Genomic DNA, 13,478 nt, shown 5'->3' on the forward strand with positions numbered 1-13,478 from the left:
TCACGCCATTCTCCTGCCTCAGCGTCTGGAGTAGCTGGGACTACAGGTGCCCGCCACCATGCCTGGCTAATTTTTTGTATTTTTAGTACAGATGGGGTTTCACTGTGTTAGCCAGGATGGTCTCGATCTCCTGACCTCATGATCCGCCCACCTCGGCCTCCCATAGTGCTGGGATTATAGGCGTGAGCCAGCGCACCCGGCCAAAAAATCCCATTACTCTTTATCTGTAGACATATTACCATTTGGTATTGGTACCAGTAGACAAATAGAAGACTACTGAATGGGATTCTTTTTTTTTTTTTTTTACTGTAGCTTTTTTCTCCTTTGCCTTTTGTACCTCTTCCTTACAGACTAGATCTGCAATGTCCAATACGGTTGCCACTAGCCATATGTGGCTGTTAAGCACTTGAAATATGACTAGTCCAAATTGAGATGTGCTGTAAGTGGATTTTGAAGACATAGTACGATAAAAATAATGTAAAATATCAATAATTTCTTATATTGATAACGTTGAAATGATATTTTGGACATATTGTGTTAAACAAAATAATTACTATTAATTTCACCTGTTTCTTTTAATTTTTTTCAATTGGTTACTAGAGATTTTTTGTTTTATTTTATTATTATATTTATTTATGTATTTTGAGATGGAGTCTTACTCTCTTGCCCAGGGTGGAGTGCAGTGATGTGATTTTGGCTGACTGCAACCTCCACCTGCTGGGTTCAAATGATTCTCTTGCCTCAGCCTCCCGAATAGCTGGGATTACAGGCATGCACCACCACACCCAGCTAATTTTTGTATTTTTAGTAGAGATGAGGTTTCGTCATGTTGACCAGGTTGGTCTCGAACTCCTGACCTCCAGTGATCAACCCACCTCAGCCTCTGAAAATGCTGGGATTACAGGTGTGAGCCAACATGCCTTTTTTTTTTTTTTTTTTTTTTTTTTGGAGACGGCATCTCGCTCTGTCACCCAGACTGGAGTGCAGTGGCGCGATCTCAGCTCACTACAACCTCCACCTGCTCAGTTCAAGCAGTTCTCCTGCTCAGCCTCCCGAGTAGCTGAGACTGCAGGCACATGCCACCGTGCCTGTCTAATTTTTTGTATTTTTAGTAGAGACAGGGTTTTACCATGCTGGCCAGGCTGGTCTCGAACTCCTGACATTGTGATCCGCCCACTTGGCCTCCCAAAGTGCTGGGACCACAGGTGTGAGCCACCATGCCTGACCCCTATTTTATTTATTTATTTATTTTTTGAGACTGAGTCTTGCTCTGTCGCTTAGGCTGGAGTGCAATGGTGCAGTGTTGGTTCAAGTTATCCTCCTGCCTTGACATTCCAAAGTCCTGGGATTATAGGTGTGAACCAATTTGCCCGGCCGGAATTCTTTTTTTTTTTTTTTTTTGAGATGGAGTCTCACTCTGTCACCAGGCTGGAGTGCAGTGGCATGATCTCAGCTCACTGTGACCTCCGTCTCCTGGGTTCAGCGGATTCTCCTGCTTCAGCCTCACGAGTAGCTGGGACTACAGGCACATGCTACCATGCACAGCTGACGTTTGTATTTTCAGTAGAGAGGGGGTTTCACCATGTTGGCTAGGATGGTCTGAATCTCTTGACCTCGTGATCCGCCCGCCTCAGCCTCCCAAAGTGCTGGGATTACAGGCGTGAGCCACCACACCCAGCTCAGTAAATTTTTAATCACATATGTGGCTTGCACTTGTGACTTATTATATTTCTCTTCATTAGTGCTGGATCAGAAGTTCATGACTTCACCATTCTCTAAAATGATTAATTACCGTATTTAAGGTTGAGAACCTAGTACTTGGTTTTTTGTGGTTTTTGTTTTTTGAGACAGGGTCTTGCTTTGTTGCCCAGGCTGGAGTGCAGTGGCCTGATCTCAGCTCACTGCAGCCACTGCCTCCTGGGTTTAACTGATTCACCTGCCTCAGCCTCCTGAGTAGCTGGTATCACAGGAGCGTGCCACCATGCCCGGCTAATTTTTTATATTTTTGTTAAAGAAATATTTAAAAAAATGTTTTTTATATTTCACCTTGTTGGCCAGGCTGATCACAAACTCCTGACCTCAAGTGATCCACCTGCCTCGGCCTCCCAAAGTGCTGGGATTTCAGGCGTGAGTCACCGTGCCCAGCCTGAACCTTGCTTTTCTAAGTCTCTTTTTTTCTACCTCTAAAAGAAAGGTATTAATTAGATCCATGGTTATCTTAGGGGCAAAAGTTTGGTGTTTTTTTTTTTTTGTTTATTTTTTGTTTTTTGAGATGGAGTCTCACTCTGTCGCCCAAGCTGAAGTGCAATGGCCTGATCTTGGCTCACTGTAACCTCCACCTCCCAGTTGAACTCCTGACCTCCAGTGATCCACCCACCTCAGCCTCCCAAAGCACTAGGATTACAGGCGTGAGCCACCGCACCTGGCCAAAGATTTTTTTTTTTTTTTGAGACGGAGTCTAGCTCTGTCGCCCAGGCTGGAGTGCAGTGGCGCGATCTTGGCTCACTGCAAGCTCCACCTCCCGGGTTCACGCCATTCTCCTGCTTCAGCCTCCTGCATAGCTGGGACTACAGGCGCCCGCCACCACGCCCGGCTAATTTTTTGTATTTTTAGTAGAGACAGGGTTTCACTGTGTTAGCCAGGATGGTCTCCATCTCCTGACCTCGTGATCTGCCTGCCTCGGCCTTCCAAAGTGCTAGGATTACAGGCGTGACCCACCGCGCCCGGCCGCCAAAGATTTTTTAAGATAATATTTTTAGTGTTTTTTTTAATTCAGGTAAAGTACAAAGAAGAAAACCCAAAATGACCCGTAATCTTACTCTACGTATCTATTTTACATATTTTTAAATATAAAAGTAATCATGTTTATGTTTAGAAAATCCAAATAGTATAGATTAGTAAAAATAAAAAGTGAGGGATCTACTGCCTGATAGTAATTATTGTTAGAAATCTGCTTTGTTGTTGTTTTTTTCTCTCTCTCTTTTTTTTTTTTTTTTTTTTTGAGAAGTCTCGCTATGTCACCCAGGCTGGAGTACAGTGGCACAATCTTGGCTCATTGCAACCTCTGCCTCCCAGATTCAAGTGATTCTCATGCCTCAGCCTCCCAAGTAGCTGGAATTACAGGCTTATACCACCATGCCCAGCTAGTTTTTGTATTTTTAGTAGAGACAAGGTTTTGCCATGTTGGCCAGGCTGGTCTGAACTCCTGCCCTCAAGTGATCCACCTGGCTTGGCCTCCCAAAGATTATAGGCAGGAGCCACCGTGCCTGGCCTTGTTTTTGTTTCTTAATCTTCCTGGCAGTGCTGATGTGTCTCATGGTTCTTTAAAAATTCCTCTGGTGCCACACTTCTAGGATTGTTTCCTTTCTTCAAAGAGAATACATTTTTAAAAATTCAAGTTGTTTTTATTTTATCCTCCCCCAAGAATATAGATTATTTACATCATACAAGTTAACAAACACCAGATTGTAAGTTATAGCTGCCATGTGCATTAGGCCGTTACAGTAAATGGGATTATAAGTACTAAACCAGACAATACAATGCAATGTTTATCCTCAACCCTACTGAGTCTCTCACTCTATAATTACAGAAGCTCTGCCAGTTAGGTTCCACTGGACTACAGCATCCTGAAACCTGGTTGGTTAATAGCTTGAGCTCTAGAGCCAAACTCCTTCAAATCTCACTTCCCAGCTTTTGACCATGGGCAAGTTACATTACTAAGCCCCTCTGAGTCTCATTTTTTCTATTTGTAAATCATAGTTGATATTGAATTCATTGGATAGCCATGGGGGCCAATTAGACAGTGTACGTAAAGCAGCCACCACAGTGCATCACATAAATGCAACTGCTCAATAAATGTCAGTTAGCCTCTTTATTATGAGGTCACCTTGGAATTTAATCTTAGCTCCAGTCTTGTATCTACCTCTGGAATTTGCACCTCCTTAGAATATAATGGTCCTAGGCGCTAATTATATTATATATATATTATATATATATTATATATAATATATTATATATATAATATATATAATATATTATATATATAATATATATTATATATATTATATATATAATATATTATATATATTATATATATATAAAAGCCCTGTTTTTTGAGGTATCAGGAATCCTGTCAGGGACTAGCAGATCTCTGATCCACCCTCATCTGCCAAGGCCAGCAGCTCCAGTTCCTTTTTCTGTGTGTTTTACACAGTAGAATGCCATGTAAGATTTTATCTGCGAAAGACGTTTGACTCCTTCAGAAAAGAAAAAACATTATTGACTTAGAACAATGTGTTTTGTTTTGTTTTTTTTTCCCTGAGACAGAGTCTCACTCTGTCACCCAGGCTGGAGTGCAGTGGTGTAATCTCGGCTCACTGCAGCCTTTGCCACCCGGGTTCAAGCGATTCTCCTTCCTCAGCCTCCCGAGTAGCTGGGACTACAGGCACCCGCCACCACGCCTGGCTAATTTTTTGTATTTTTAATAGAGATAGGGTTTCACTGTGTTAGCCAGGATGGTCTTGATCTCCTGACCTCGTGATCCACCTGCCTCAGCCTCCCAAAGTGCTGGGATTACAGGCGTGAGCCACTGCACCTGGCCCTTTTTTTTTTTTTTTGAGACGGAGTTTCACTCTTGTCACCCAGGCTGGAGTGCAATGGCGTGATCTTGGCTCACTGCTACCTCCACCTCCCAGGTTCAAGCAATTCTCCTGCCTCAGCCTCCCGAGTAGCTGGGAATACAGGTGCCTGCTACCACGCCTGGCTAATTTTTGTATTTTTAATAGAGATGGGGTGTCACCATGTTGGCCAGGCTGGTCTCGAACTCCTGACCTCAAGTGATCTGCCTGCCTTGGCCTCCCAAAGTGCTGAGATTACAGGCGTGAGCCACAGCACCTGGCCACAGTATGTCCTTTATAGACAGGCAGATAGGCCCTATGTATCTTGCACAACGTTACATGGTGAGTTTATGGCAGAGCTAAGGTTATGTCTTTTTGTTTGTTTGTTTGTTTTGAGACGGAGTCTCGCTCTATTGCCCAGGCTGGAGTGCAGGGGCATGATCTCAGCTCACTGCAAGCTCCGCCTCCCGGGTTCATGCTTCTCCTGCCTCAGCATCCTGAGTAGCTGGGACTACAGGCGCCCACCACCACACCTGGCTAATTTTTTGTATTTTTAGTAGAGATGGGGTTTCACCGTGTTAGCCAGGATGGTCTCGATCTCCTGACCTCATGATCCGCCTGCCTCGGCCTCCCAGAGTGCTGGGAGCCACTGTGTGAGCCACCACGCCCGGCCAAGGTTATGTCTTAATTCTCAGAACATACATTAAGTTTAAATACCAGTGAAGTCATTTTCTATACATGGTTTTTAGAAGCTGATTAGTATTTCACTGGTGTTAGCTTCAAAATTGCCCTTGAGAGTTTTCACTTGTGATGACATATCAGATTGCTGTTTCTTTGACAGAGACTGCACATATCTCATGCTGCATAACCCTGAAATACCTGTTATAGTTTTGGTCTTTTAATTTAGCTTTTGAGTTTTGGATTCTGTCCATTTTTTCCCCTAAAACATCTGTAGAATCAGCTATTGCTTTCTATTCCACAGTCATTATCCTAGGTTTGTTTTTATGACTTCTTTCCTGCATATTTATGATTATACAAACTTCTTTTGGGCTCCCTACCTCATTTGTCTTTTCAGTCTGTTCCCCGCTATTACTGTAGTTCTCTTTCTAAAACGCAGATAGCCAGGCATGGTGGCACATACCTGTAGTCCCAGCCGTTGGGGAGGCTGAGACACAAGAATTGCTTCAACTTGTGAGGCGGAGGTTACAGTGACCTGAGATTGCACCACTGCACTCCATTGTGGGCAACAGAACGAGACCCTGTCTTGAAAAAAATTAATTAATTAACTAATTAGAATAAAACACAGAGGTGATCTTGGCTTGTCCCTTACTTAAAATATTTTAATACCTTCCTTTGGCTTTCATTGTCTAGGCTTGCTGTTCAGGGTAGTATTTATTGCTTTTCACAAACTTGGTCCTACACTTTCATTTTCATGAAACTCATTCTATTATGTAAACATAATACTCTCATGTTGTTTCCACTTCTTCTAGATAACACTCCAAACCTTTGACCATACTATTCCTTCTGCCTAGACAGCACTCCCCAGTCCTCTTCTTCAGTCTTCAAATTTCACCCCTAGACAGCTTGCCCTAACCTACATCTCCCTACTTTTGCATTTTGCCCTGTTAGATCTTTTCATAGACTCCTGTGATAACAATTATTATATTCTATTATAATCCTTCATTAATAGCACAGTTTTACTAGCTAGACTGAGAGCCCTACAAAGGCAGGAACAGTATTTTATTTATCATTTTAGAAAGTAGGTATTTTGCCAATCATTTATTAAATATTTATTATTTTAGAATGTTGTGATAGGAAGTGGTAGGGAGTTATGATGGAGGGATAGGTATAAAGGGTAGTTAATTGGAAATAGAATAAGAAGGTAGTAGTGCAAAGCAGGTTCCAAATAGAAAAAAAAAAGATTTATTTGGGAATTGAGAAGGTAAATGTTAGCCTAGATTGGAGATAAAGATCTTTGCAAGGAAACATTTCCAATACAAGGGGAGGGAATCCTATCACACCCAAATACTCTATGCATTGAGGTAAAAGCCAGAATGGCTTTTTGACTGTGTCTCCCTGGCCTTTTATTTTTCCAACTACTGTATACTGTAGGTCATTGCTATTTTTGTAGTTTTCTTTCCAGAGGTTCCTTTTGTTAGTTGGGTGTTTGTACAGGTATTCATCCTACTGTACTTTGTGAGAATGCCTTTAAGAGAGGTCTGTTTTGAGTAATTAGATACTAGTGGAAATAATTCTGTTGGACACTGCCCTTACTTATAATTCTCTTAGCATGCCAAATGCTAGTGACTTCAGCTGGCTTAGAAATAAGAAACCTTGCTGTTGTCACCCATGTCCCCACCCCACAGGCACACATTCAGAGACCTCAGTAGTTCTCCCTAAACTGAATTTTCTGACCCTTATTTTACTACCCTAAGTTCTTAAAGTCTCCACTATAGACATTAAGAATGGGAGCAAAAACAAGTACATTTTTGGAAAAAATGTCCAATACTCATCATTGGTTAGGAATTCAACATTGTTTCGTTGGCTTAACTAAATTAGATGCCAAATTCCTGGTATATGTTTCATACCAGAATCGAAGCTCCTAATAAATTGGCCTAGGAGGAAGCAATAGAATAACAGAAAAGATTCAGATATGAGTCTCTCTGGAGTTATTTGCTGCCGCTACCTAGTCTGAAGGTGTGAGCAGCTGGGCTTAGTTTGGCAGATGTGGAAAGCTGGTAAGCACTTTCATTTCATAGTGCTGTTAGAAAGGAGGGGAAGAGAATAGGAAGAAGAGTCCTTTTCTCTTAATTTGGAGTCTTCAATTGAAATCTGCCTTTACAAATCATATAAAGCTTGATGCCAATTCTACTAAAATAAAACTCTACACTTGTATATGTATTTAAAAAACACTGGGCTGGGCATGGTGGCTCACACCTGTAATCCAAACACTTTGGGAGGCTGAGGCAGGAGGATTGCTTGAGGCCAGGAATTCAAGACCAGCCTAGACAACATGACAAGACTCCATTTCTACAATTTTTTTTTTAAAAACAAGCTGAGTGTGGTGGTACTCACCTGTTGTCCTAACTACGTGGGAGGCTGAGGCAAGAGGATCACTTGAGCCCAGGAGTTGGAGGGTGCAGTGAGCTGTGATTGTGCGACTGTACTATAGCCTGAGTGACAGAGTGAGACCCTGTCTCTAAATTAAATAAAAATAAAAAATACTGAATGGAAGTAGACCAAGAAGTTAACAGTGATTTTCCCTGGATGGTGGAATTATAACACACTTAAGCTTTTTTTTTTTTTTTTGCTTTTTTTTTTTTTTGAGACAGGGTCTCATTTGTTACCCAGGCTGGGTGGCAGTGGCACAATCTTGGCTCACTGCAGCCTCAACCTCCTGGGTTCAAGCAGTCCTCCTGCTTGATGACAGCCTGGGATGACAGGCACGTACCACCATGCCCAGCTAATTTTTATATTTTTTTTGTAGAGATGGGGTTTTGCCATGTTGCCCAGGCTGGTTTCCAACTCCTGGGCTCAAGTGATCCACCTGCTTCAATCTCTCAAAAGTGCTGGGATTACAGACGTGAGCTGCCGTGCCTGGTAGAACTTTTTGTTCTTCACTATGGTATCCAGACTCCTCCAGAGTACATGTGTTGCTGTTATAATACATGAAAAAAAAATGAAGTTATTAAAATAATAGTTGATTTTTAAAGGGTTCATAGAGGCTCTTCTGTTTTCATGAGCAATAAACAGAAACTGATCTTTTTGAGACAGGATCTCATTCTGATGCCCAAGCTGGAGTGCAGTGGGGCGATCATAGCTTACTGCAGCCTTGACCTCCCAGGCTCAGGTGATCCTCCCACCTCAGCCTCCCAAGTAGCTGGGACCACAAGTACATACCACCACACTCAGCTATTTTTTTATCTTTTGCAGAGATGGGGTTCCCCCCATGTTTCCCATGCTGGTCTCAAACTCCTGGGCTCACGCGATCCTCCCACCTTGGCCTCCTAAAGTGTTGGAATTGTAGGCATGAACCACTGCACTTGGCCTAAGAAAATTTTGTTCTAATAATATTTGATTCCCATTTCTTATAGTTTTATTAAGATATATTTCACATACTAGCTGGGCACAGTGGTACATGCCTGTAGTCCCAGCTATTCAGGAAGCTGAGACGGAGGATTCCTTGAACCCAAGAACTTGAGTCTAGTGTGGACAACATAGCAAGACTCCAGTCTCTTAAAATGAAACAAGAAAAAGATACATTTTACATACTTTTTTTTTTTTAAGTTTTTGAGACAGGGTCTTGCTTTGTCACTGTAATTTTTTCTATTTTATTTCTGTATTACTTTTTTGTTTATTAAGACAGGTGTCGGCTGGGCGCGGTGGCTCACACCTGTAATCCCTGCACTTTGGGAGGCCGAGGCAGGCGGATCACGAGGTCAGGAGTTCAAGACCATCCTGGCTAACACGGTGAAACCCCGTCTCTACTAAAAACACACAAAAAAATTAGCCCGGCATGGTGGCGGGCGCCTCTAGTCCCAGCTACTCAGGAGGCTGAGGCAGGAGAATGGCATGAACTTGGGAGGCGGAGCTACAGTGAGCGGAGATCGCACCACCTCACTCCAGCCTGGGGAACAGAGTGAGACTCCGTCTCAAAAAAAAAAAAGACAGGTGTCTCACTCTGTCACCCAGGATGCGTTGCAGTGGCACAAATACAGCTCGCTGCAGCCTAACCTCCTGGACTCGCGCGATCCTCTCACCTCAGTCCTCTGAGTAGCTGGAACTACAGGCAGGTGCCACCATGCACAGCTGATGTTTTTGCATTTTTGTAGAAATGGGGTTTCACCATTTGCCCAGGCTAGTCTCGAACTCCTGATCTCAAACGATCTGCCTTCCTTGGCCTCCAAAAGTGCTGGGATTATAGGCTTGAGCCACTGTGCCCAGCCTACATACTATTTATTTATTTATTTGTTTGTTTAAAATGGAGTTTTGCTCTTATTGCCCAGGCTGGAGTGCAATGGCACAATCTTGGCTCACTGCAACCTCTGCCTCCTGTGTTCAAGTGATTCTCCTGCCTCCCAAGTAGCTGGGATTACAGGCATTCGCCACCACACCTGGCTAATTTTTTTTTTTTTTTTTTTTTTTGAGACGGAGTCTTGCTCTGTTTCCCAGGCTGGAGTGCAGTGGCGTGATCTTGGCTCACTGCTTCTTCTGCCTCCCGGGTTCAAGCAATTCTCCTGCCGCAGCCTCCCTAGTAGCTGGAATCACAAGCACATGCCACAGCGCCTGGCTAATTTTTATAATTTTTAGTAGAGACAGGGTTTCGCTGTGTTGGCAAGACGGGTCTCGAACTTCCGTCCTCAGGTGGATCCACCCACCTTGGCCTCCCAGAGTGCTGGGATTACAGTCATGAGCCACTGCACCCAGCCCTAATTTTGTATTTTTAGTAGAGACAGGGTTTCACTGTGTTTGTCAGGCTGGTCTTGAACTTGACCTCAGGTGATCCACCCACCTTGGCCTCCCAAAGTGCTGAGATTACAGGTCTGAGCCACCACGCCTGGCACAGCCTACACACTTTAAATTTACCCATTTAGAGTGTACAGCTGAGTGGTTTTTAGTAAATTGAAAAAATTGAACAATTATCACAATCTTAATTTTAGAACTTTAAAAATACCCCTGAAAAGAAAAATTTCTTGTAATTCTGTTCATATATTTTAGTGGTATGAATCCTTTTATAAATCTTGTGACATTTTCAGGGTGAACCTAGCACTGTGAGTTATGAAGGCATATAAGACACAGTTCTTGACTTCAAGTAGCTGATAGACTAATAGGGAAGAAAAGGAAACATAAATGTCTTTACAACAAGACAGTTGATTAAAGTTTCACACCAGTGATATAAGCTATATATCACAGGTTTGCTGAGGAATTGAAGAATCATCTGTGTTTGGAATGATGACAACAGGCCTCATGGAAGTAGGGAGATGGAATTTTCTAGCCAGAAAAAATGTGGAATTATATTATTCTTTGTATAGGCACTTTTCAGTCTATAATAAACATTTTCTTTTTGCCCATTGGGAATTATGCCTACTTTTTTTTTTTTTTTTTGAGACGGATTCTCACTCTGTCTCCAGGCTGGAGTGCCGTGGCATGATCTCGGCTCTCTGTAACCTCCGCCTCCCAGGTTCAAGCGATTCTCCTGCCTCAGCCTCCCGAGTAACTGAGACTATAGGCACGCGCACCACCATGCCCAGCTAATTTTTGTATTTTTAGTAGAGATGAGGTTTCACCATGTTAGCCAGGATGGTCTCGATCTCTTGACCTTGTGACCCGCCCGCCTCGGCCTCACAAAGTTCTGGGATTACAGGTGTGAGCCACTGCGCCTGGCCTATGCATACTTTTATACAAATATTTTATCAACAGATCTACCTTTATTCAGAAAATTATGGTCTGCAACATTTAATGAACATACAGTATGGGGATGACAAAATAAATAGCTTGTAATTTAACAATTACACTGAGATCTCTACTGCTTGTTTTTTAGTTGATTTATATTACAAGGAAAAGTCAAAGTCTTTCTATATTCTTGTCATCTAATGCAGGGTACTTCTCAACTCCCCCACCATTATTCTAGCCTCTGTAACTCCTCCTTTCTCTGCCTTTACCGTTCTGGGATGTGTGTAATTGTAGTAGGTCATTACCCAGAATTATATGCCATGTGTGACAGTCTGCAGAGATAGGATGTTGCAACACTGTCACCACATGGCTCACAGAGTAGAAAGTCATTCTTCCATTTTTATGATACCTTAATTTCTATTTTAAAAAGCCTTTAAAAATCAGCATTTGGATTTTTATGTTATTACATCCCAGAAAAATGATCTTCTAGTGAATATAAGTACAGAGTAGTAGTATCATATGGATTGTAATGTTTCCTTTAGGTGACTGAAATGACCTACCCCTTTCTCATTGCTTTTGAAATTGAAAACACTTTTGACATTGTTTTTGGGACACAGGTTCTAAAAAAAGGCAGGTAGATGGATCACTTGAGTATATTAAGGAATACCTGCATCCAGTGAAGATGCTACTTAGGTTGTTTTTCTAGAGTAGGAATAGATCTGTGAGCTCCAGCTGTGTATTTCTGTGACTGTCCTTTTGACTACTGTACTTTCAGAGTCACTGACTTCAACCATGCAATGGAATTAACCTGACCGACTCAGGCTGAAAGAGTCCTAATAAAGTGATGACCTGAGATTGGAAACCCACATAACAGTTTTGTCTTTTTAATTCTGAAAATCATAATTTATCTGTTTTATTTCTGTATTATTGATTGATTGATTGATTGAGACAGGTCTCACTCTGCCACCACCCAGGCTGGAGTGCAATGGTACAATCACAGCTCACTGCAGCCTTGACCTCCCCGGGCTCAGGTGATCCTCCCATCTCAGCTTCCCAAGTACCTGGGAACCACAGATGCACCACTACACCTGGCTAACTTTGTAATATTTTGTTGTATAGAGACAGGGTTTTGTCATGTTGCCCAGGCTGCTCTTGAACTCCTGGGCTCAAATGATCCGCCTACCTCTGCCTCCCCATGTGCTAAGATTACTGGCATGAGCCACTGTGCCTGGCTTAAGTAATTTAAGTAATACTATTTGTTTTATTTAGATTGTTTTACAAGGACATGCTACAAGAGTAACTGCTAAATCTCAACAGAGTGGAGAGAAGGCATTTCGATGTGAATATGATGGATGTGGAAAATTATATACAACAGCTCATCATCTCAAGGTATATATAAAAGAAATGTTCTATCTAGTTATGAGAATACCTAGGATATTAAATACTAAGATCATATTTTTGTGTAATTCAAATGCCACTGTTTTCTCCCAGTTATCAAGATACTGGCACTTGGTCACACTCATACACAGACATGTAAAAACCTATGCGGACTTTAGAGACTGTTAATTTTTTGAGGGCTTGGACTGTGTTTTTTTCATCTCTGTATTCCTAATGTCCAGGATACTACCTGGCACATGGTAGGTACTCTACATATTTGAATATATGTTGTCAAGTATGAAATCCATTTAATTATATGAGAGATATGTGTGTAATCACACATCTCTGTTAATTCACTGAAATCTAGCAAAAGTTGGTGTTAATTTGGCTTTTAAATATTTGGGCTAAGGCTGGGCGTGGTGGCTCATGCCTGTAATCCCAGTGCTTTGGGAGGCCGAGGCGGGTGGATCACCTGAGGTCAGGAGTTCAAGAACAGCCTGACCAACATGGTGAAACCCTTTCTACTAAAAATACAAAATTAGCCGGGCGCAGTGGCAGGTGCCTGTAATCCCAGCTACTCGGGAGGCTGAGACAGGAGAATTGCTTGAACCCGGGAGGCAGAGGTTGCAGTAAACCAAGATTGCACCACTGCACTCCAGCCTGGGCAACAGAGCGAAACTCCATCTCAATAAATAAATAAATAAATATTTGGGCTAAGTATTTTTATTTCACTTGCTGCTATACATAACAGAACATACCATGACTCAATAATAGCTAAGATTTGTTAAAGAACTTTCAATGTGTCACGAAGTATGCACTTAGCATATCTGGAGTAGTGGCCCTGGGGCCCATCTTCACTATTTATCAGTAACCTTGGGATGTTAGTTGACCTCTTAGTACCTCATTTTCCTCATCTATAAAATTGGATCCTAAGAGTTATCTCCCTCTCAGAGTGGTTGTAAAAATTAAATAAGTTAATACCTTACACGTAAAGTACTAAAAAGAGTGTCCTGATGTGGTAAATGTTCAGTAAATGTTAGCCATTGTCATTGTTACTCATTTGTCATGGCAACCCTCTATGGTAGATACTAT

General features: G+C 42.1%; 1 protein-coding gene across 21 annotated transcripts in view; it reads left to right on the top strand.

Moving 5' to 3' along the window:
* ZNF143 (zinc finger protein 143) overlaps window positions 1–13,478 on the top strand; it is a 67,513-nt gene that overhangs the window by 21,356 nt on the left and 32,679 nt on the right. For all 21 annotated transcript variants that reach the window (XM_047427553.1, XM_047427557.1, XM_047427552.1 and 18 more), the window contains one exon: window positions 12,279–12,398. In XM_047427553.1, the coding sequence (XP_047283509.1) occupies window positions 12,279–12,398 (120 nt within the window). The remainder of the gene's footprint in view (window positions 1–12,278; window positions 12,399–13,478) is intronic.

The sequence above is a fragment of the Homo sapiens genome, chromosome 11 (assembly GCF_000001405.40).
Source record: "Homo sapiens chromosome 11, GRCh38.p14 Primary Assembly".
Taxonomy (NCBI): Eukaryota; Metazoa; Chordata; class Mammalia; order Primates; family Hominidae; genus Homo; species Homo sapiens.